The sequence below is a fragment of the Homo sapiens genome, chromosome 6 (genome assembly GCF_000001405.40).
Source record: "Homo sapiens chromosome 6, GRCh38.p14 Primary Assembly".
Taxonomy (NCBI): Eukaryota; Metazoa; Chordata; class Mammalia; order Primates; family Hominidae; genus Homo; species Homo sapiens.
In genome coordinates, this window is record NC_000006.12 from 161,057,439 (window position 1) to 161,082,903 (window position 25,465).

General features: G+C 40.0%; 1 protein-coding gene across 7 annotated transcripts in view, besides 1 other annotated feature; it reads left to right on the forward strand.

Moving 5' to 3' along the window:
• Window positions 1-25,465, forward strand: part of MAP3K4 (mitogen-activated protein kinase kinase kinase 4) — a 125,612-nt gene that overhangs the window by 65,670 nt on the left and 34,477 nt on the right. For 6 of the 7 annotated variants that reach the window (NR_120425.2, NM_005922.4, NM_006724.4 and 3 more), the window contains exons 4-6: window positions 13,170-13,412; window positions 16,028-16,174; window positions 23,443-23,600. Coding sequence is in view for 6 of the 7 variants with exons in the window: in NM_005922.4 (NP_005913.3) it covers window positions 13,170-13,412; window positions 16,028-16,174; window positions 23,443-23,600 (548 nt within the window). In the remaining variant the exon portion in view is untranslated. Of the gene's footprint in view, window positions 1-9,760; window positions 9,859-13,169; window positions 13,413-16,027; window positions 16,175-23,442; window positions 23,601-25,465 lie in introns of all 7 variants that reach the window. The other variant, NM_001291958.2, reaches the window with a different exon arrangement.
• Window positions 22,060-23,259: an enhancer, noted in NCBI's record as "MED14-independent group 3 enhancer chr6:161500530-161501729 (GRCh37/hg19 assembly coordinates)". NCBI's record gives its function as "activates an origin of replication core promoter dependent on BRD2, BRD4, P300/CBP and CDK7 cofactors, and independent of MED14, by STARR-seq in HCT116 cells {active_cell/tissue: HCT116}" and the evidence as "EXISTENCE:reporter gene assay evidence [ECO:0000049][PMID:35650434]".

Below are 25,465 nucleotides of genomic sequence, written 5' to 3' on the forward strand. Positions count from 1 at the left end.
CAGGATTCTGGGATACCAGACTTTATCCTACATGGTTTCGAAACCTGGCTGCACCTCAGCATTACCTAGAGGGCTTTTAAAAATACGTGTGCCTAGCCATTCTGAGAGTAGGACAAGTCAGAATCTCCCAGTGGGGGACACGAGCACTGACATTGTAAACAAACCTCCTGTGTGCCTCACGTGAAGCTAGACCAGCAACAGTGTAGTTCTGGTACTCACTGGAAACACTGATTAGGCTCCAGTGCTCTTCCGCCCCATGCCTTTAAGATCATGCTGCTTAATACAGTTGTTAGAGTTAACTTATTACTTGTTTCAATCATTCCCTGTCTGATTTCATAAGATTACAAGAACTTTGTAATTGAATGACACACTAACAAGCACATACTTGCTCATTTGCCTTTAGGTTTTCTGTTTTCTTAAACATACAAACATACAAAGGAAAGTAGGAAGTTGTGTACATTATTTTGGACTATAGTGAGCAAACCGACTCAAACTGATGTAATATCACAGGTAGGATAGAAGTCATCAACTTTGAGCTGAGAACTGGATCCCGTGATAACAACAGCACAATAGTAATATTGAGAAGACTAGTAGCTAGCATTAACTGAACACTCGCTACATGCCGGGGCAAGGAAGAGGGCTAAGTAACTTGATCAGGTCACAAATCTAGAAAGTGGCAGAGCCAGGATATGAACCCAGAGCTCTGGCTGTAAAGCCATGTATGCTCTTGACAGTGTACAGTCTCCCAAAGTTACATTTTGTCCCACACAGTGTTTTAAATATTTTTTTTGACTTAGTGTCTAATATTTTTAAATGGGAAAATCCAGATTTTGGGTTTTCCTAGAAATACTGGGAAGTCTGTCAACACTGGGTCCACATTCCCACATGACCAGCAGCATAAGGGCTCCAGGTTACCACAGTATCCATCATTTGTCTTATGGCCACCCAAGTACACCTGTTTACATGACTTACTGGGCCTGTGTAGAAATTGCAGTTTGTGATAGGATCCCAGTATAGAATCACAGAAACTGACTTTTGAAGGGTAATGTAAAGGCTATTTGTATCTAACACTTTTTTAAAAAACAGTATGCTTTTGTTTTATTTATTGGAGTATATTTTTGAAGTCCCTGTCCTCTGTCACTGCTCAGAGTAATTATCATCTGGTTTATATTTTCTAGAGTTTTTTGTGATTCTATAAATTATGTCTTTGTTATGTAACACATGTAATTTTTTACAACAAATGTGATAATGCTATACATAATCCTACTACAACTTGAAGGGTTTCCCCCGTGTTGTCTACTTTGGATCTGTCCTTGTAGATATATATATATATATATAGCTCTCGTTGTTAAATTCCATTTAACAACTACATGATATTCCATTCTATGAATGTACCATAACTTATTTAATTATTTCACTCTTGATGGAAATGTAATTTTTTTGCTTGTGTAAACAATGTAGCCACAGACATTCTTGTACACACCCCTTTATGAACTTATTCTGTTGTTTTTGTAAGAATGCTTAATTGAAATGGAATTGTTAGGTCATGGGGTATATGCACATTCACATCTTTGATATGTATTGCCAAATTGCTCTCCAAAAAGACTATACTAATTTATACTTAAAACAGTGCAGGAGAAATTTGATTTTTCCTCATTTTTATAACCATGATCAGCAAAAAATGTTATTTCATTGATTGATTGATTTTTTTTTTTAAGTCAGAGCCTCACACTGTTGCCCAGGCTGGAGTACAGTGGCACAGTCTCGGCTTATGGCAGCCTCCACCTCCCAAGTTCCAGCGATTCTCATGCCTCAGCCTCCTGAGTAGCTGGGATCACAGGCGTGTGCAACCACACCTGGCTAATTTTTTGTATTTTTAGTAGAGATGGGGTTTCATTATGTTGGCCAGGCTGGTCTCGAACTCCTGGCCTCAAGTGATCTGCCTGCCTTGGTCTCCCAAAGTACTGGGATTACAGGCGTGAGCCACTGGCACCCGACCTAAATCTTTCTCTTCATTTCTAGTGACACTGAGCCTGTTTTTCATGTTTATTGGCCATTTGCATGTCTTTTCGTTTGCTTATTTATTTTGCTCATTTTCTGTTAGGCTGCCTTTCTATTATTGATCTGTTGGAACTATTTATGAATTTTATTCATTTTTCTATGATGGTTGTAAATACTTCTTTCAATTTGCCTTTTAACTTGTTTAGGATACTTAACACTGTATAGAAATTTCACATTTTTATATAGTCATGTCTGTTGTTATTTTATGACTACCTTATTTTATTTGTACTCAGAGATTATTTTAAAATTTTATAATTGTCATGGTTTTCTTTTTACACTTTGAATCAGTTTGCAAATAATGTCCATGTGTTATCATTGTTCATTATATTTCTAAAGTGTTTTAGTCTGTAGATTCCCCCTGCCTTTTTTTTTTTGCCATATATGAAGAAGCAGGGTCATTTATCCTGTAGGGTCTGAATTTTTATGATTGTATCCCAGTTGCCCCACATGTTTCTATTTTCTGTGTCTTCTCTGTGAATTGGCTGTAAAATAGAGTGGCTTGATCAAATTCAGGATTTTTTAATTGGTTGGTTGTATTAACACTACTTTCCCAGGACACACACATATCTGACTATTTGTGCCATTAGTAGTAGTTGATGAACATTGCCTAGATTCCTTAATACATTAAGGGCTGAAAAGTGAGGATATTCTAATTCTCTCATTTCTTCTTCATTTATTAGCTTCTTTATTATTCATTTCATTTATTAGATATTGCTATAAGGATAAACTTTTCCTCACCTATTATATGGTTACTTAGTGGAATAGTTGACACAAATGGCAAGATTAATGTGCTTGATTCTTTACCTTTTATTTACTATTTTTTAAAATAATGATGTGGTTTATTGATGACTAATTAGTGTTATTAGTATGATTTTGAACTCATGAATTTAAACATATTTGGTATGTTTCAATCCATGGATGTCATTAATGTATTGAAGTAATTATTGTAATTAATGTTCACGTCCCATCTTTGGACAATGGGAACATATTCAATTGGCTTGACTCCTTTTTTCACAGTCCTTTGATAGCTTCCATGTTATTTAGTGTAACTGGCTATCCTAGGCTGACATTGTATATCTGTTCCAGGTTGAGAGTCAGATATGTTTTGTTTTCTTTTTCTTTTTTTTTTTTTTTTTTTGAGAAGGAGTGTCACTCTTTTGCCCAGGCTAGAGTGCAGTGGCGTGATCTTGGCTCACTGCAACCTGTGTCTCCCTGGCTCAAGTGGTTCTCGTGCCTCAGCCTCCTGAGTAGCTGGGATTACAGGCATGCGCCACCACGCCCAGGTAATTTTTTGTATTTTTAGTAGAGACGGGTTTACACCATGTTGGCCAGCCCGGTCTCAAACTCTGACCTCAAGTGATCTGCCGGCCTCGGCCTCCCAGAGTGCTGAGATTACAGGCACGAGCCACCGCGCCCGGCCACTGAGAATCAGGTACATTTTTAAGGAACCCTAGTTCCCTTTATTGAGAAATGGTATATTCCAAGACCACTGTCTGTACCCCAGCATTGTTCATTGCAGCAGAAATTGTGGCTGGTCATTGTTTTACTGTTTAGTGGGCAGATGAAAACACATACACAAAATGCATCACATGTCCTTTCTGATAGTTCTGATTCAAATTCAGGATTTGAGAATTTTGCTTAATCTCTTCTGACTTAATCCATATATCACCACCTTTCTTTTTTTATTGAGAAGCCCAATGTTCTGTGATACCAGGTGTGACAGAATATCAGATACTGACTATATTCCAAAATAGACAATCATCTCAGTGTGATTACTGGAAAACAGTTCAAGTTTTGTTTTTGACCATCCTTAGGTTATAACCCTCTGTGGATGTAACATCAGATAACTGCATTTTAAAGACTTTTGGAACATTTCTTCTCGTGGCTCTGCCACTGACTAGATATACAGTTAGATTCTTTTTTCTACTTTATTTCCAAAATAATAGCTTTATTGAGATATAATTCACTTAGCATAAAATTCACCATTTAAAGTGTTCAGTGGTTCTCTGTATTTGGAGTTGTGCAACCATCACCACTGCAACCATCCTCACTGTGTAACTTTGGAACATTTTCATTGCCCCTAAAAGAAGTCCTGTACCCTTTAGCTGTCACCTCCACAATTCCTGTGCTCACTAGCCCTATCTCTAGGCAACCGCTAATCTACTTTCTGTCTCTTAATATTTGCCTAGCCATATAAATGTGGTCATATGGTATGTGGTCTTTTGAGACTGGCTTCTTTCATTTGCATAATGTTTTCAAGGTTCATCCTTGCTGTGGTATGTATTGGCGCTTCATTCCTTTTTATGACTGAATAATATTCCATTGTATGGCTATACCACGTTTTGTTGATCTATTCATAGATTTCTTAAAATTTTATTTTTAGGTATTGGTTTTTAATTTGTTTTTATAAGAATTATGTGAAGTACTTGGTTTTACAAGAAAATCTAAATGTATTCTCAAAGAAGTTTAGCTTCTCTGACAGGGATAGTTAATCTTTTAAAACATTTTATGTTTTATACTTCTGTTTTTTAGTGTAACCTTTTTGGAAGTATGTAGTTTTGTTTATTTATTTACTTTTAATGTTTAAGATGAGTTTATTTCCCCCAAGATGTCTTTGTATTAATATCTTTACATAACACCCTTAATATCCCCTCTTCAATTTTTTAATCTGCTTGTTCCCAACTTTGAGCTATATTGGAATTATCCTTTTATTTCTAAAGTTTCATTTGAAGTAATTTTCTTTTACTGCCAGTGAAATGCCAAGTTATTTCATATGCCCTTTCTTTTCCCCCAGATGGTGGTGGTGTGGTATATCTGTATTATCAATCATACAGCCGTGTATGACAGTACTTTCTCCCCCATAGCTGTCATTTAGTCTCAGTTCTTCAGGGTTGTGTGTGTGTAGATAGATAAAATATTTATAATAGACATGTAGATAGAAGTTTCAGATTTTGTTTAAAGGCTCATTTTTAATTATTATATCCCAGTCTCTTGAGTCATTCTGGTTGAGTGACACCTGTTCTTTAGTAGATTTCTGAGTAAGGGCTCAGGAGGACAGCATTTCCTGAGTTCTGCCATGTTTCTAACAGTTTGCAACATTTATACTTGGAAGTTTGTTTGGCTGTCCATAAAATCTTTGGTTTATATTTTCTTTCCTTGGATAAATTTGTTATTCATTCTTTTGACAGGAAGCATTGATGTTGAATGGTCTGATGACAATGTGATTTTTTGTTTCCATTTACAAGACCTTTGTTTGTTTGCTGAATACCTAAAGGATTTTTTTCTTTAAACTCTACTAGTTTTACAGTGTTGGTTTTTCCAATTTGATATTTTCAGATACATGGTGTACACTTTGAATAAATAGTTTAGTTTGTTTGTTTGTCAGTCTGTTTTTTAAATTTCTAGTGAGTTTCTTAACTTACAGTTTCACATTTTTGCTTCACTGACTCAGTTCTCTTTGGGAACTGCTCTTTATATATTTTGGATCTACTTTGCCTGTCTTCTCTGTCATTTCATTTCAGATCTTTTCTTTTTCTTAGTTTCTTTTTGAGTTATAAAGTTTTCTTTTGTTGACCTCATTTCAGTGAAGGCATTATCTGTTCTGTTTATTTGCTCTTATGTGCCTTCTAGTTTGTTTTTGATTTGGGACGTAAAATTGATTTGATTTTTGATTAAAAAATTAAATTCTGAGTTCTATCACTGAGGTTTTTTTTCTAATTCTAATTTTTGTCATTATTTTATATTTTTTATGATTTTCTTAATTTCTTTTAGTTTATTTCAGAAATCGGTCTACAATTCTCATCTGCTTAGTGGACATATCTTTCTGGCAAGCGCTCACTGTCTGGAGGGTTATTCTCCTTTTTCTCTCTCTGCTTATGGTAACCTTGTGCTAGATTCTACTACAGTTCTTTTCTGTTGCTTATTTTTAAACATGATACTTGTTTCCATGAACTTAAAGGAGAGAGGGAGTTAGGAAAGTGTTTGGGATTGGGGCTCTGAGTACCTTCTTCTCAAGTTTCAAACCATCTTCTCTGTTATTGTTTGAGGTCTGTGGACTGTTCTTCTTCCCATGTTCTCGATCTCCTCTTCTCTTTCCTCCTGTTGTCCTTTACTGGGGAGTTGGATTTCACTTTTTTTCCTCGATGTGGAGCCGAGAATTCCTGGAAGGGAATTTGGGGTACTAGTTTTAAGATATTATGGGGCCTAAACCACTCCAGCCCTTTCAGACCTTACTGCCAACCCCTTGCCTTCACTCATGAATAGTGCCAAAATCATTCCTAATTTCACAGAAGTTCTCTGTAGACTCTGTGAGCTTTTCATAGAGCACTCATCATGACTTGGGAATTGCCTCTTTACGCCCTTCAGACACCCTGTTAATTTCCTCTGCTTCCCTCCGCTAATGCTGATACCACATGGCTCTTGGAACTGTTCATGGTTTTCCCACCACCTCTTCTCTTTGGGGAGTCATGACCACCCCTTTTCATCTAGTTTTGTTGGAGGTTTGTCTCACAGAGTTTTGGTTTTGCTGTCCTCATTGCTCCATTTTTATGAGAGGGCGTTGAAGGGAAATTGAAACCCTGTTGCCACCACTTTTTCCCAGAATTCTTTTTTTCAGTTTGACCTGTACTAAATTGCCAGTATTTGACCATTTTCAATGAACGAAAGTGGGAATTTTTATATAGTTTAACCTAATGCAGAGCTCTATCTTTAGATTTTACTACATTGGGAATTTCTTTTTCCAAATATATTGTTCAACATGTATTTTTGTGTTTAATACATACTTTGATTTCCCATAATAACCAGTAAGAATTTCTAAAACAGCTGCATAATTTTAGAAATGAATACTTGTGATACTGTGAGGTATAGTATGAGGTAAGCATGTCATTATTTTTCTGTTAATTGCTTATAACATACATTAGATAACCCATTATTTTCCAACTTCTTAAACTGCTGCCTTTTTTTTTTTACATTAAATTCTAGATAATTGGGTATGTTTCTGTGTTCTGATCTGTTTATTACTGTGCAGGCTTATTCTATTTTAAATAGAGTAGGCTTATTAGTAAGGTTTGGTATCTTGTAGGACAGTGTTGCCCATTGTTTCTTTTCAGAAGTTTCTGTGCTGTTTTTATTTTTGCACATTACTTTCTTCCACATGGGCTTTATTATGGATTTGTCAAATCCACACAACATGACATCAGAATTATTATTGTAATTACATTGCATGGTCTTAATATAGAATCTCTAAGATGGAGAGCACCCTTTCAATGATTAGAAGAGACACAAGATGGAAATAAAGATTTTATTACTTGCAGGTTCTGGAGGGTACACGGCACGCCTACAGGCCGCTCATGCAGAGGTCAGGAAGTGCAGACAGGGAGAGAGGGAGGGACCCATGGGCCAATGCCTTCGTGGAGTCCAAGGTATTGTCCAAACAGGTTTCCCTCAGGAAGGTTTAATTGGTGGATTTAAAGCAAGCAGGCACAAATTCCAGGAGGTCACGCTGTTACAGAGGTAGTCACAGTGCTGTGTCTGCACTGTCCATGAGAGGTATGAGGGTCAGGGCCAGTGAACCAGTCTGTGTGTAGCTGTCCATAGGGAGGTGGTCACTAGGAGGAAGTTGTATAAGGCAGGTATCTGGATCAGCCACATTGAGGAACTGGGAGGCAGTGTAGAACTGCACCCTGTGTCAAGGGTGACAGAGCCCTGCTTCTGCTATGTGAAGGTTCCACTTAGATTCAAAGTGCATACCAAGGCAACATAAAATTATGAGAATTTACTATGCATTTTATCCATGTCCTTATATTATTGAATCTTCCTAGTTTGGCTAGGCTTGATCTGGGGTTTTACACTGTGTTTGATGCTGTGCTCTTCACTGGAATAAGATGATAACAGATATGTGTTCCTGCACTGCACTGTCCCTTTCTCCGCTCACTGGTTTTATTGTAATAATTTGGAATGCAAGATCCAGGCCTTTTCTTTATAGTGTACTTAAAATTGTGTTTTTAATATTTCATTCTAGAACTCGAATTGTAGTCAGTAACCAAATTATCATCATATAGTTGTATCTGCCTATACAGATTGAAAATCCCTTATCCGATATGCTTGGGACCAGAAGTGTTTTAGACTTCAGCTTTCTTCGGATTTTAGAATATTTGTGGGCTGGGCACGGTGGCTTACGCCTGTAATCCCAGCACTTTGGGAGGCCAAGGCGGGTGGATCATGAGATCAGGAGATCAAGACCATCCTGGCTAACACAGTGAAACCCCGTCTCTACTAAAAATACAAAAAATTAGTCTGGCGTGGTGGCGGGAGCCTGTAGTCCCAGCTACTCGGGAGGCTGAGGCAGGAGAATGGCGTGAACCCGGGAGGCGGAGCTTGCAGTGAGCCGAGATCGCGCCACTGCACTCCAGCCTGGGCAAAAGAGCAAGACTCCGTCTCAAAAAAAAAAAAAAAAAAAAGAATATTTGCAGAATGGATACCAGTTGAGCATCCCAAATCCAACATGTCAGTGCTCAAAAAGTTTTGGATTTTGGAGCATTTCAGATTTTGGGTTTTTGGATTAGGGATGCGCAACCTATATAAGTTTTGTTAAATTTATGGCTTTTCTCTTTGTTTGCTATTTTTCTTTCCCTATCTTGTGATTTTTTTATTCCAGTCTAGTTGTCATTTAACTAGACTCTACCATAACCATACTTTGAATAGTTTTTTAGAGAAGGTAAGTGAATTGTACTTTGAGATCATCCCTATTCAGAGGCTGCTGCTGCTTTACATCTTAGTGGTGTTTTGACTATGCCAAATGCTTTTCTCCCCTTTTCCTTTTGTTCTTTATGGAACTCTGATCTTACGTTAGAGCCGCTAGATCTGACTTCCATGTCTCTTGTTTTTACTCAAAGTTTCCATTTCATCTTTTCTTTTTTTTTTTGCTCTGAGTTATAGTAATAATTTCTGCAGTTAATTCTAGATTATTAAATCAGTTTTAGCAGTGTTCATTCTATTTTCACTGTCTTCTTGAGTTTATTTCAGAAGTCTTAATTTATTATTTTCCAGAGGACTTTAATGAGATCTCGTATTAGAGTATTTTTATTGTTCTCTCCTGTTTTCTACATTAAATCGGTATTAATTGAGCCCAGCTGTTCTGATTCTTCCCTTTAGTCTCCTCTTAAGGAAATTGCTGTTTCCTCTGAAGTGCTGAATTTTTGAAACATCTGCTCCTCTCTGTCTGGACATGTATTGACATACCAAGCTCCTCCAGCAGGAAGGGGGTTCCTCTGTGACTGTGGAGGTCTGGCTGTTGGCTCTCCCAGGCAATGTGGTCTTGCACTTTTTTGAGAACTAGGGATTGTGCCTTTGGCTCATTGAGCCCGTAAACAAAGTCAGCAGGCTGGGACTGTTTGGAATGCTGAAAGAATTATTTAGAATTTTATCTTAGAAAGTTTGGTGAATTTTATAGAGCTTTATATAAACATTGTTTTCTGATATCATTATACCAGAGGCGGTGGAGGGAAGCATTTACAGCGTCTAAAGCCTTTACTTACACATACCTTAAGCTGTTAACCCTGAATATCTGAGACAGGTCTGTTAATTTAGAAAGTTTGTTTTGCCAAGGTCAAGGATGTGTGCGCCTGTGACACAGCCTCAGGACGTCCTGACTATGTGTGCCCAAGGTGGTCAGGGCACAGCTTGGTTTTATACATTTTAGGGAGACATGAGACATCAATCAATATATGTAAGATGTACATTGGTTCCATCCAGAAAGACAGGACAACTCGAAGCAGGGATGGGGCTTGCAGGTCACAGGTAGGTAAGAGACAAAACGTTACATTTTTTTGAATTTCTGATTAGCTTCCTTATGCATCGATCTCAGTGAGCAGAGGGAACAGGATGGGAGGCAGGTTTACCCTAAGCAGTTCCCAGCTTGACTTTTCCCTTTAGCTTAATGATTTGGGGGCTCCAAGATTTGTTTTCCTTTCACAACCCTGACCACATTTATTACAAGTAATTATTTTAGTGGTTATTTTAGAAATTCTTGCCTGTTAGGGAAACCCAGGTGTGTACTAATTTAAGTGCAAAAGTATGTATTAAATGTAGAAGGATAAATTAATCTTGTTTTCCTTAGTGCTAATGCAGATTACTACGTGGAAACGGTGTGTTCTTCCAACTTTATATTTTAGTGGTTATATACTAACATTGTTTGATGTCAGGTTATAATAGACTAAACGTCTGTGTTTTAAGAGACAAGAATTTTTTCCTTTCAGACGTTTAATCTTGATGGTAATTTTATACTAAGAAGAAGGCATATCCTCGTTTCTGTCATTAAGTGTATCTCAGTTATGCCAAGTATATGTTATTCTTTTTGAAAATCAAAACATCCACTTTTAAAACTGTAGACCTTGTCAATCTGTCACTAACATAATTACTGTTGGCATTAGGAGTACAATAGGGAATTTGAGAACTAAGAGCTTGTTAACAAGGTTGATGACATCATATGTTCCATTCTTTAGTGTTAGATTGTTAATAGCTGGGGAAGAAGAAACACTGGCACTTTTATAGGAGTATTTACCTATTAATTTATTCATCAAACATAAGCATCTATTATGTGGCAAGTACCGAGCTAAGTTTTAGAGACCCATAGTTAACTGGAGATAAACAATCTTTTTCATGGAACTGATGGTCTAATGGGTAAATAGATAAAATAATGCATTACAGTAAAGCATGATAAATACAACAGAGGAAGCATTTGCAAGGCACAAATACTGTGAGAAAAGGGAGAGATTAAATGAGTTATTTGAGGCAATCACAGAAAACTTCATAGAGGAGGGTGGCATCTGGGCTTCTTCCTAATGAGAGGAAGAGTTCACCAGGGACAGAACACTGTCTGCAGATCAGAACTTCTGATAATAAAAGGGATTAATTTGTGCAAAAGCACAGAGGCAGGTTTGTTATGGGTAAAGGAGAAGAAGGTGGTGGCAGGAGATAAGGATCAAGATCTATGCAGAGACCTGGCCATTAGGCTAAATAAAAGTGTCTGACACTTAGGGCTGTCAGTGAAGCATTGCATTTTAAATTAGAAGGGCTAAGACAAGCCTTGGAACAAAATCACTTTGTGGGTTATTGAGAGGTCAGTGGATTGACGCGTTGTAATCAGAAAAGCAGTTGAAGATCCACTGTGAGTTAAGGCAGAGGGTAGAGGAGAAGGTGGATTTAAGGAGTATTTAGTAGAACTGATAAAGCATGTTAAACGTCTGCATGTATGGTTCAAGGAAAGAAAAGTGTGGAAGGCCATGAATGAGCATTAATTAGTGAAAGCCAAGCTGTCCGTTGGAAATGGGAAAACACAGAAACAGGGAATCATCTTGAAGAAGATAATAGCCGTAAAAATTAGTCCACTCTGCAGCTGAGGCTCTTTGTGATTCCTTGAGTCCTCTGACAGTTCTAGATGTGGGGGTTTATGCAAACCTGACTTAAGATATGGCTTCTTCTATTTGCTGTAAAGCAACTAATGGTCCAGAAGGAGAGACCAACATGTTAACAGTAGTGATTTTACTAATGTTATATGTAGTATGTTTTTAGAGCGTTTTTCCCATGTGTACAGCATGCTGTTTAATCTTGTTAAGAGGTAGTTGATGGCTCTATTTTTAAAATGAAGAAATCAACCCTGAGAGACTACTCAGTGCTTCCAGAATCACATCGCTAATTGACTCAAAACCAGCTTTTCTGATTTTTGGACATTGGTTGTTTTCTCATTAAGCCACACCGTCTCTATCATGAAAGTCAAGGTAAACTCAGGGTTTAGAGTATTTTAGTGGCATGCTGTTGGGGGCGAGAAGAAAGTCACTGGAAAGGTATCATGAGGTGAACCTTGAAAACTAAGGATTTTGAAGTGGAAAATAAAGAGGCGAGCATTTCCAGGTGGGGAGGCAGCATGGGCAGCGAGGCTGGTGATGGCACACGTGTGTGAGGGTTGGTTGAGAGTGTCACGTGGAGGCAGGAGAGAAGGCAGCACTGGAGGGTGAGACTAGGTCATGGAGGGTCTTCCATAGCAGCTCAAGTTGTTTGGGCCATATTTGGTAGATGAGCAGGTCGGGGGCAGCACTTGGAAGTGTCAGATGAGAGTATCATTCATGAATGCAGCAACAATTACTGTCTGCTGTAATCAGTGCCAGGCGTGGGGACGGTCCTTTTAGTATAGTGGTAAGGAAGTGAAAGTCCTTGCCCTCAGGAAGTTCTGTCCCCAAGTTATGGTGGAGTGTGAAATACTCTGATGGCAGGGAGTAGGGGTTCTGGTGAGGAATGATGGGGAGGGGAGAAATAGCTCCCATGGAGCAGGGAGAAGGTGGGTGAGGACCAAAGGGAGGAGAAGCAGGGGCCTTGGGGAGCCAGGGAGGAGTGACCAGGAGCAGAGAGAGTGCTCCCAACATTCCAGATCCCCTACTTTATGGGGAAAGGTGTAAGGAATTTGAGAGGAACAGCTAAAAGAACGGGGGTGGGGGCGGACAACGCAACACTAGGGTTCCCGGGAAGCATCACAAAACGGATAACTGAGTCATGCCAACCAGGTTGATCTTAACGATTTTTTAATTTTTCTGTCAGCATCGTTCATTACAGCTCAGGGGAACAAATGGACAGAAGAATTAGTGGAACTGATTAGTTTTTATGTTTTCATAAATGGCTACTTAGGATGAGCTGTTATTTGATTTTGTAATGTTTTCTCTAATTTCAGTAATTCTCTGGTTTTTTTCCCAGTCTAGAGATAGTTGTCGATAGTACTGTATATAACCTGAAAAATAAAGTGTTCTGATCATTTTAAGTGTGAGGCAAAAATGTTAAAGATGAACCTGATTCTTTTTCTAATATACTTCTTTGATCAAAGTATTGCAATTTGGTTTTGGTTCTCATTATGGTTTCCAGCATTCTTAGAACTTTTTGGATCTATGTTGAAAATGTTGAAGTTATTAAATTCATTAAATTATTAAATATTCTTTTCCCTGTAAAATTAGAATTTTTGTAGATTTGTTAGCACATTGTAGAGAATAAGAGTTTATAACCACAACCGTAGAACGTTGTCTCGTATGCTCTTTTAATCTGTGCCTGTTGAATTTTTGTTATAGTTTTCTGAATTTCCAGATCCCATGTGGGGTTCAGATTATGTGCAGTTGTCAAGGACACCACCTTCATCTGAGGAGAAATGCAGTGCTGTGTCGTGGGAGGAGCTGAAGGCCATGGATTTACCTTCATTCGAACCTGCCTTCCTAGTTCTCTGCCGAGTCCTTCTGAATGTCATACATGAGTGTCTGAAGTTAAGATTGGAGCAGAGACCTGCTGGAGAACCATCTCTCTTGAGTATTAAGCAGGTTTGCTTCAAAGACTCTTTAAAATATTTAGCAATTATTATATTATCCTACAGGCTTATCATTTTTATTTTGAGAGTTCCTTTTTTTTTCTTAATTGTCGCAAATAGTGAAAAATGACTGTTTGTCCATGGTTTTAAGCTGTATATTTTAGGGTAATTAAAAATGTTCTTTATATGCGGTCCTCAAAGGTAAGATTGTGGTTCATCCTTTCTGTCATCCACTTCCTTGTTCTAAGTATTTTAAAGTTTCAGTCTTTGAAGACTAAAATTTAAAATTCATTCATAAGAGGTAGAGTATAAGATTCTTAAATTTATTTATTTTTTCTATTTGAAGTACATGTAAACAGATAAATGTCTAGAATAGGCATGGGGAGGGGTTTGGACTTTCTGCTTGCTTAAGCAGTGGTATGGTTTAAACAGTAGTGACAGCTTATGATTTCTTCGTTGTTGTTCATTCTGGGTGGGATCTTACGGATGTTTGATATCCCAGGAGCAGCAGCGGAATGGGTGGAAGCAGTTGTATCCAGCAGAGTGAGTGCTGAAGAGGGTCTGTATTTATTATTTATGATATTAACATATTGATATTCACCATATAAAGTAAAAATTTCCAGACCTTGTCCCCAAAAGAAGAAAGGTTGGTATGTTTTTTGTAGACTGTACGTGTCTATCCCATAGGGATTGGAGGGCTAAGAGCTACCCGGCTCTGTGAATGGTAAGACAAAGCATAGGTGAGCAGTGCAGATTGAGGAAAGGCAGGTGAATACAGGTCATACAGTAGGTACAAAATAGGATTTGTTTGTTTAATTAGGAGTAGAATAGAATGACTAATGAAAGTCATTTGGAGATTGTCCCCTGCATCTCATTTCCATCCCTTTGGTTCATACCCAGCACCGCCAGAGCTCTGTTTCCATGTTAGCTCCCCTTCCTTCTCACCCTCTTGTTTCTGGTTATTGTCGTGCTGTCCACTTTGGCCTTGCTTTTAACTCATCCTCATAATCGCAGTGGTTATCTAGGACATTTTGGGAAAATACTTCTCAGCTTCCTTCTTTATGAAAGAAATACTTCAGAAATATAGCCTGGTAAAGCAAGGTGGAGTTTATCTTTTGTTGATGGGGCTATTGTGAGGACTAAATAGTAATGTATGTTGTAATACTTTGAAAAATAAAAACAATACTTAGATTAATGTAGCACTGCTAGAGTAGAAAGAAAGCAGAAATTTTGGTTTAAATGCATTCAAAGATCAGTTACAAGCACCTAAGTGACATCTTTAATAGAGAAATTGATAATTATATAATCTGAACAGAACACTTTTTGTTAGATTTAACTGTAGCCATAGCTCTCTTACAGTGGATAATTACTTTAAAACATTTCTGGGAGAGACTTCTGTCAATAAAAGCAATCCATGTTTATTTTAGAAATTTAGAAAAGTACAAAAAAAGATAAAAAATCAAAATCAAAAATAATTGTAAAAACCCTGTTATTCTGACATTCAGAGATAACTGCTATGACATTTTGGTGTATTTCTATCCATTTGTTTTTCCTGCACATACATAACTTCCTACACATACAAGTAAGTATGTGTGTGTGTGAGTTTTTTCCCTGTAAGTATTTTTCAAAAGCAAGAATTTAAATGGCTGCAACAGTATTCTACTGTATAGGCACATCACAATTTATTTGGTTAATCATCGATTTAAGTAACATTGTGATAAATATGCTTGTATAGAAATCTTAGTTTAGATCTCTGATTATTTCTCGAGTGTAAAACATAATAGTATATAGATGAGTCATACATTTTTAGACTCTAGAAAGTTTGTATCAGTTTACCTTTCCATTAGCGGCAGTGAAGGTTTGGCTAACATGTATGAAAACGAATGTGACTGTGTGATCTCATATTACAGTCCCTGTTTATTAGAATTTGCGTACATTGTGTCTCAGTCTTTTTATTAATGGGGAGGGCTTTCCAGATTGTCTCATTTCAACCTTCTGCCCACGTTTGGCAGGTTATTACCTATTAGATCTATATATTGCAAATTTGCCCATTTTTTGTTTTGTTTTTTTCTGTTGATTTTTATCTAATTCCATCACATAATATTAAGTCGGTTGGTTGGTTTTGGTGGTCATTATTTGATGGTAGACTGGGCCACAAATCACAGTAGGTAAACTATGCTAAATTATTGCGAAGGCCACCTGCTTTGTGGTAAAAAGTACCTTTGAATCTTTATTATGTTTTTGATCATTAGGAGGTTTTTCTTTCTCACATTTCTTGTAATGTAAATTAGTAGAAAAATTGATTTTATTCTATGGGATTTACTTTCTATATAAGTTTGTTGTTAAGAGAATTTATTTTAGCAAAGCAGTAATTGCCTATATGGTATTTTCTCTGTGTATCCATGCTGTAGTATTAAATTCTTTTATTTTCACTGTTTTGTTGCTTCTCAATTGAGACTACTAAGGTATTTACATAAAATGAACTGATCAAGAATCTAGAAACTATTGTAGGTTTTTTAGAGGCAAGGTTCCCTCTGAGTTTTTTGAAGATTTAAGTAGGAAGATATAAAACACGGATCGTCTGGTTGGAGTTTATGGCTGCTGGAACCTGTGTGTGTTGTTTTGCAGCTGGTGAGAGAGTGTAAGGAGGTCCTGAAGGGCGGCCTGCTGATGAAGCAGTACTACCAGTTCATGCTGCAGGAGGTTCTGGAGGACTTGGAGAAGCCCGACTGCAACATTGACGCTTTTGAAGAGGATCTACATAAAATGCTTATGGTCAGAAGCAGTGGGGAGGAATTTTTCTTTCTTTCTTTGTTTCTTTTTTTAAAAAAGTAAGCCTGTATTTCCTTGTTTTGCAAACAGCGTTGGCATACATATTCAGATAAACTTCTCTAGTAATGAATTATAGAAATGATCCCTGAAAGTATAGCTTGTGTGTGTGTATTGCGGAGGGCGGTGGTGGTGATCTTGAATCAGAGTCTTTCCATCTGGTATTAGATTACATTTGTTTCTCTGAAATCCACATTTAAAAAATTCTCAATTGTTTTTAAGTTGGAAGTTTTTGACAAACGTTAACCTAGTTCATTCTTTACTTGTAGAATAGTTCATCTTATGGCAGAATGGCCCAGAAGTAGAATCAAAATATGGTCCTATGTTAGTGAACCGTCTGTCATCAGCCATTTTTATAATACCTAGGATGTGCTAGGGACCTTGCATGGCTCTGGGAGTGTTGAAGATCAACAAGACACTCGTAGTCTGGTGGGACTAGGCATGGTAGATGGTAACGCCCCCGAGGGCTCGGTGCCAGCAGAGAAGCTTGCTGTGTTGTCTGGGAGGCACTTCCAGTGAGGAAGCTGAATCTTAAAAAGATGAGTTAAGGGTTAGTTAAGGAACCTGGCACATTTGAGGACTTGTAAATAGTTTGATTGGGCAGGAGTAGACCTATTTTTATTTTGTCATAAAAAGAGACCTCCTGTCTTCTCACTTACACTGAATGTGCCCTGTGCTTTTAACCTCTGTTCACATTCTTCTTTCCTGTTAGAAATGCCCCCTCCTCCACTTTATCTGCCTATTTAAGGCTTACTTTCAGGTTTTATTTTTCTCTAGAAAGCTTTATCTGACAGTTTTAACTTTTAGTCTGTGTTTATACCTTCTTTGAACTCTTTTTAGCAGTTACAGTTAGAACTATATGGTTTAACATTTAAACAGAGACTCTTTTCTCAGGTTGCCCTAATTAGACTGAAAGCTTCATGAGCCAAGGGCTATAACTTGAAATTCTCTTGTTTTCCATAGTATCTGATAGTGTTCATGTATCGTAAGTACACGTTAGATTCATTAGGGTATATGCATAGATGATTACGTAATGTGACAGGTTAATGAAATAATAAAACTGTATCGTTGTAGGTGGGGTGCATTCATTCTTGCTTAACATGTACTGTGTCCTGCCTAAGGATGGCTGCAGCACCTACAGATACCACTCTCACTTTCTAAGCGGGAAGAAAAGGGGAAACAGACCTTACCAGCTAAGTCCAGACCTTTTTATCAGAGCAATAGGAGCTCTCCTGGCAACCCCACCCAGCACATTTCCCCTGCCTTTTGTTGACCAGACCTGTTGCATGGCCTCACTGTTGCCATGGAGGCTGGGAATGCACATGTTGAGCTTTCCAGCCTCTGTAGTAGAAGTAGAGAAGGAAGAATGTGGCTGGGAATGAGACATATTATATCTGGCATATTGCAAGAAATCATTTTAATGAGTTAGAAGTTATTCTCTATATAAAAGACCTGAGTGTGTAAAATGGCTGTATTTTGAAATACTATGTATTTATTTTCTTTTTTGAGATAGAGTTTTGCTCTGTCACCTAGACTGAAACGCAGTGGTGTGTTGACGGCTTCCTGTAGTCTCAACCTACTGGGCTCAAACGATCCTCCTGCCTCAGCCTCCCTAATAACTGGGACCACAGGCGTGTGCCACCACACCTGGCTAATTTTTAAAAATTTTTTTGTAGAGTCAGGGTCTCACTATGTTGCCCAGGCTGGTCTTGAACTCCTGGGCTCAGTGATCCTCCCGCCTTGGCCTCCCAAAGTGCTGGGATTATAGGCATTAGCCACCACACCTGCCCACTATATATTTCTTATGTCAAAAAAATCTTTATCTTGAAAAGTTGTGGAAAAAAGCAACAAGCAAATTATTATTTTTCTCTCTTTATGGGTAACTAAACCAGAAGTTTAAGAAGACAGAATATGCTTTGCTTCGTAAACTGTGTTTGCTGGCCCTTTATCCTGTAGTGGCAGGGGAGCAGGGTGAGGAGCATCAGGCATGTGAACCACGCCTTCCTGGTCAGCCAGTTTCTGTGCCATTGGTGAGCCTGTGTGATAGTGGAAGTCTAGGCTAAGTGACTTACCAACATTCACAGCTGGTTAGTTTTAGAAAGGCTTAGAGTTTAGTTTTGGCATTACTGTCAATTATCCACATCTCTCTTCTTACAGATGAAAAAACTAGAGACTGTCAGTGTTTTAAAATTATGGCCTATAATGTGCTAGAAGGATCAGGGCAAAGGTGTGTTCTGAGGACTAGGGGAGCCCAAACAAAATCAGTGTTTCTATTAGGAAGGAAGGAAAGAACAGCAATTGAATTGGCAGTCAAATTATGTTTAACACCCTTGTCTGGAAACCCACCGAAAACAGCAAATGGAAAAATTCCTTCTTCAGAGAAGGAGGAAATTGGCCACAATATCCTTTCCCATACCCTTCCAAAAATAAAAAGACTTAGAATTATTCGCCTTGAAATGTAAACTAAAATGAAGGTAAACCCAAGCTCTAAATACGTGTCCGCCTTAGGCCCAGAAGGCCCACCCAGAGATTAACTAGAGCCTTGATATCTAGGGGTGTGACAGCCATGACCGAAGCTGAGCCTGTCTCTCCAGGGATTCTGTTGTTGACTGAAGAGCTGCCCGACAGAAGGAGCGCGAGCTATACCGCAGCCTTCTCTGGTTGTCAGGAAGACTGCCGAATGGGAGCTCTCTTAGCAGGGGGAGGGGAAGCAGTGATTAGCAAGTTATGATGCAGAAATTCTGTGACCTTGGGGGCTTTACTCTGCGTTAGGACATCCACTGTACTCGAAAAACTGAGACACTTAAGCATGTAGGTCAAAGGAAGTAACTTGGTGAGCATTTGGAACATCAAATCTAAATCAAAGCTGTGAATTGTTATCTCATTTCCTGGGTCCCTGGCCTCAGAAGTAACCAAGACAATAAACATAATAATACATGATGTAGGAACATGTGACAGCCTTAAGGAAACCACTTAAAAAGATTTATAAGGATTGAAAATATGAAAATGATAGGCGAGATGTGGTAGTTGTAGAAGAGACACAAGAGAGCTCACATGTACACAATTTGAGTTTCTGCAGAAGAACAAAGAGCAAAGAAGCAGGGAAGCTCTTAAGTTTTCATCCTACAGATAATTATTGGGTATCCACTGTGTGCCAGGCAGGCACCATGCGGGGACCAAGGAACTAGTGCCGAGCGTAAACTCCCTCTTAGAGTTTAAGAATAGGGGGGTCCATGGTGATTGTAGAACCATGTGAACAAGACTACAGCTGAGAAAAATGCCCTCAGGAAAGGCACAGGTCTTTTGTGGACTGGTTAATTCGATTCAACTTTTTGTGGAGGTCAGGCTTCTCTGAGGGGGGAGCATTGCAACTTATCGGAAATTTATATACATTATAATCCAGTTTAGGTAACAGATGAAAAACGTAGACCAAACAATACTATATATTGTAGTTTCTGTAATAAGAGATTGTTTTAAAAAGCGTATAGACTAGAAGGAAATGTGCTCAGTTCATGATCATTGTTGCCTCTGGGGAGGGAGGAAAGAGATAGAAGTGAAGAGAGAACAAAGGAGAAACTAACTTTCTGGTACCTTATTTCTTATTGAAAAAAATATCTACATGTACCCCGGAACTTAAAATAAAAATTAAAGAAAAATCAACAAGAACATATCTAAAGCAAATATGACAAAATACTAACATTTGTTTATTCTGGGTGATACTTGTAGAATACTTTTTAGAATTTTTTTAGCCTCTTTGCTTTTTAACTTATAAAGAGAGGGATCAAGAGAAGCCCCTTTTTGGTAGCAGGTGCGGTCCGCTTGGGAAAGGAGCCTGGCAAGAGCAAGGCACCGCAGGCAGCCTGTGGGGGCTCCAGCTGCAGGTGGAGAGTAGGCTGGGGGTCCAGAGCAGATGTGAGAGGAACAGTTCAAGGCCATTCCAGGAATGCACATGCAAGTCCTTGGATTAGAGGGGGTAACATACATTCAGAAAGAAGTATAAGGATTCAAAGGAAACGTAGGCAGTGAAATGGCAGGACTCGGGTGGATCAAATGTGAACAAGGTGTTGGGAGTGACTGTGGGTGTCCAGCTCCTGCAGCTGTGTGAGTGGTGAAGATGTGAGTCCGGTGAGGAGTTTTAAATTGGGCTGAGGGCATTTGAAAGCCCTCAGGCTTGACTTTGCAAACTAAGGGAAAGAGATGGGAAAAAAATATATATATGTATTAATATGTATATACGAGAAAAGGGTGAGGTTCCTCAGACTTCTGGAGGAGATGGGTCTCAAACTCAAAGCACAAGCTTTGGGATTAGGAGGAACAGTAGTTCCTCTGCTATAAAGAAGGGAGGAAGAGAGGATGTAACCCTGTAGGTTTGCATGTTTGGGACCAGGAAGATTTTATACCAAATGACTTCTATTTTTGTGTGGAGAGGTAGAGATCATCTGCTGAGAATGGGTGGTGGTGGGTATTGGCAGTTGGAGGAAAATGGGGAAGTTTCAAACTGGTGGCTCTAGACAGAAGGAAAGTGAGCTAAGTAGAGATAGAAATATGACTCCCAGAAATGTTATGTGGCTGGTGATTATGACTAGTCCCCCCAGCTCCTTGAGTGTGGGCAGGGGGAATGGGATGGTTAGGCTTAAGCCAGCTTTGGGGTCTTGACCAACAGGTGAGATGAAAAGACAGTAAGGGGCTGCAGGGTGCAGGCAGCAGCGGGGACGCCAGCATGCTGATAGCAGTGCAGTTGAAAGGATAAGCCCATGGGATCTGAACTGAAGCCAGAGGAAAGCGAACAAAGGAGGGGGTTGTGAGTTGCAGAAAGATGAGCAGTCAGTGGACTGGGTTCCAGACAGGGCTAAAACAAGTTGCAGTGGTAGTGGTTGAACAAATCTCCTGGAAGGAGGAGAGGGGGCTTTATTATCAGGTGTTTGAACTGGTGATTTGGGGGTTGGAGCAGTTCTGGCAATGACAAGATCCAAGGTGGAACCCCATCAAAAGTGGAGAAAGGGCCACTGGAGATGGAGGCAGTCAGGAAGCTGGACTGAAGAAGTGTTCGGTGGGTTTTCCGCATGATGCTAAGCCACGGCAGGGTGGCCGAGCCCGAGATGGAGGAAAGACTGTTAGATGAAGGCCGATTAGAAGTCCATAGGTGACAGTCTGAAGAGGGGGCCAGTGGTGTGGCTGATGACGTAAATCTTAAAGGGGTAGGGTCTTTTGTTTTGCTTTCTAAAGAAGAATATATACAAATTATGGTTTAAAAGGAGCAGTTGGAGCCGGGTGCGGTGGCTCTCGACTGTAATCCCAACACTTTGGGAGGCCGAGGCTGGTGGATCACCTGATGTCAGGAGTTCGAGACCAGCCTGGCCAACATGGCAAAACCCCGTCTCTACTAAAAATACAAAAATCAGCTGGGCATGGTGGTGTACACATGTAGTCCCAGCTACTTAGGAGGCTGAGGCAGGAGAATCACTTGAACCTGGGAGGCAGTGGTTGCAGTAAGCCAAGATCATGCCATTGCACTCCAACCTGGGAAACAGAGCAGGACCCTGTCTCAAGAAAAAAAAAAAAAAAAAAGCAGTGGGAACAGGAGGAAGCTGACTTTGCAGCCTTTGAGTGCATAGAAAGACAGAGAGTTGGCCGGACGCAGTGGTTCACGCCTGTAATCCCAGCACTTTGGGAGGCCAAGGTGGACAGATTGCCTGAGGTCAGGAGTTTGAGACCAGCCTGACCAACATGGAGAAACCCCGTCTCGGCTAAAAATACGAAATTAGCCAGTTGTGGTGGCGCATGCCTGTAATCCCAGCTACTCAGGAGGCTGAGGCAGGAGAATCGCTTGAACCCGGGAGGCAGAGGTTGCGGTGAGCCGAGATCGTGCCATTGCACTCCAGCCTGGGCAGCAAGAGGAAACTCCATCTCAAAAAAAGAAAGAAAAAGAAAAAGACAGATAGTTGCCCCTTGGGGGCCGCAAGGAAGAAGCTGTCCTCAGGAAGGAAAAACACGGAGATGGGGGAGCTCACCAAGAAGTGAAAGGGCGGTTCTGAGCCTCGTGTTGAGGACTGTAGACCCATGAATTGCAGATTCTGCACACACAACTCTAGTCATAACAGACCCAGAACTTCAGAGTCACACCACACACCTGGAGGATGGAGGACTCAGACACAGTGAACGATACAGCAGAAGACAGTTGTCTTGAGATAAAGAATAGACTTCAGATTTGCCTACTGAAAGTTATTACTAGATCTCAGAAAAATATCTTTCCCAACAATGAAGTCTGAGATGTAGCCTGGTGAAAACACTGAAACCTAGGATAGAGAAAGGAATCCTGTAAACATCTGAGTGTGGACACCCGAGTGTAGTCACCTTCAGGATGTGGGAGAGCAGTGGTGGGTGGGCGCTCAGGTTGGCGACAGACTGCTTCACGCTGAGTCACACTCGGGGTTGGAAGGGAGTGGAGTGATGTCTGAAAAGTTCCGAGAGAGAATGTGTGACTCAAATATCTCCTACCCCGTCAAGCTATTCTTTTAAGTAAAGGAGTCCATAGACAGGGTTGTTCTAGAAGGTGGCCATTGCAAACCTGTTGAGAAAAACTGCTTGATAGTTGAACCCTGCTGACCACGGGATAAATCTAAAGGAGGATTTAAGAACGGGAAAGCTGTTGTAATAGGACTTGTGGTGGGCATAAATCCCACTTCAGAACAACTGGATATTTTGGTTTTAGATCATCATTTATATGTTGCAAGCCTTGAAAACATTTTATCACGCAAATCCGGATGTTAGGAAGGGGTGGTGCGAAGAAGGGTGTTGACGTCCTCCTCTCTGCACATAAGGCACCATTTCAAGCTAAAGTAGGTCATTAAGTGAAGATCCTAACCTCTTAAAGGAATAATGTTGACAGTACATTCATAATGAAAAGTTCTGGGTACTGTTCTTTTGATTTTTTCCCCTTTATTGTAGATTGTGAACATTTTTGTTGTTAGGATTTTGAAGGGGTTGTCAATAATATGTTAAATTGCTGGGGAGTTAGTTTTGTGATTTTTTAAAAAATCCTCATTTAGACCTCAGCTAACAGTGGTGAGAACCTTGCTTCTGTCGGTGCTGCGTGCCTGTGACAGCCCCCGGCCCGCCCCCACTTTACCCTGCTGATGTGTAGCTTTCAGGTGAGAGCGCTGAGTTGCCAAGTTCTACTTTCAAATGTCTCCCTTTACTTTTTGTGTTTTAAGGTGTATTTTGATTACATGAGAAGCTGGATCCAAATGCTACAGCAATTACCTCAAGCATCGCATAGTTTAAAAAATCTGTTAGAAGAAGAATGGAATTTCACCAAAGAAATAACTCATTACATACGGGGAGGAGAAGCACAGGCCGGGAAGCTTTTCTGGTAGGAATCCTTGTGCTTCTGAACGCGACGCTCCCACCTTCTCACTCTCACACCATTTACTCACTGATTCTCTCCTATGTGTTTGTATGTTTAGTTACATGAAAATTGCAGTTATCCATATCTCATATGTGCACCCTCTTCCAAGTTTTGAGTGGTGTTTCTCAGTCAGGGGTGATTTTTTCCCCTTGGGGACATTGGGCAGTATCTGGAGACACTTGATGGTCATGACTGGGAAGATGCTCCTGGCAGCGAGTGGGCGGGGGGAGGGAGGCTGCCGCACATTCACGGCACACAGAACAGCCCCACAACAGAATTATCCACTCAGATGTCAGCTTTGAACTTGAGAACTTCTGCCCTAGAATAAACTCTTTTTCCCCCTAATAAAAGGAAGGAGATTGTAAGTCCTTCAAGAGTAGAATATACCCGCGTATATCAGTCTTGGTGGGGACATGCAGAACTTAAGAAGTATTTTAAGCATTTTTACTGCCACTGTTTGGGGAATGTAGTGCTCATCACAGACTCTCTTTATGAATTGGGTGTATATAGGGTGAAGGAATAGAAGTGTAAACAAGGGGGAATCATGAAGAGAGCAGTGCAGAGTCGCAGGGCTGGTCTGTCAGTTCTAGGAAATGAACATCTTGCATGCAAGCTTGGGATCGCTGGGCACAGGCCGCGTCTCCGTGGTCTTTGCTGGTGGCCACTGCACCTCGGACTTGCTTTGGCTCAGATGAGGATCAGTGTCCTTCTGTGCTTTAGATTCTGCTGCTGTCTTTTGGCACCACCTTCTCCCACTTGTCTCATCAGGCATTTTATTTTTTCTGTATCCCTTTTATAAAGTCTCATTCATAAGAGCATGCCTATTCTAGTCCTAGACCCCATTGCATTTTGTCTCTTGTATTAGAGCAGCAGCTTCTGCTGCCTACCCTGTCTCCTGGTCCCGTCAGCGTGACTTCTGCAGGACTCTAGCTTTAGCTTTGTTCTTGACTCTGCCGATTTCTCCTATGTTCAGTCTCGGAATCTCGTATCCACTTCTCTGTTCTAATGGCCAGTTCTTTTTACATCCTCTCTCTTTATTTGGAGTGGACAGTGAACTTGCTCTCCTCTCATAACTCCATCCGTCAGGCTGTGATCCCCAGGCTGTCTTTGCTTGTCTGTTCAGCTTGGTGCCCATAGTCAGCCTTTTTAAAAAAGGCATTCATTGTCATTTGCAACATGTCTCCCCCCTTACTTTTCCATGATTCTGCTTTGCCTAATTCCTTCTGTTTGCATTTTCTGTTTCCAACCTGTCAAGCTTTGTTGAAGAAATGTTTTTAAAGGTTACTCTTTAGTTTCACTACAAATTCATGTTGTTTAGTGTCACTGTACCCTCACTTCCTCTTGTCAGTCTTTGTGTTTCTATCTTTTGCTTGTCCTTCAAATTCCCTAGAGTGCAGTCTCTGGCCTTTGCTTTCATGATCCTCGCCCTGAGAAGCTCCAGGGCTTTTTCATTCCCCCTTCTTGTGAACAGTCCACTTTTATTCTAGTTCTGGACTCCACTGCATTTTATCTGTTGTATTAGAGCAGCAGCTCCGGCTTCAAACACTGTTTCTCCCAGGGTCAGTCGGTGTTGGAATCAGCGCTGACTCCTTTGTTTCCTGCACACACTACCTCGACTCTTTTTGGGTGCCCTTTGAGGGTATATCCAGAATCTGACCTCTGCCTCTCAAGCACTCCACACTTCCACTCTTCCCAGGTTGTCATTTCTCACGTATGTTATTGCAGTAGCTCTCTAAACAGTCTCCCTACTTCTGCCTGAAGCCTCCTAGAGTTTATTCTCAACACCACAGCCTGAATGGTCTGGTTAAAGTGTATGTCAGACCATTGTC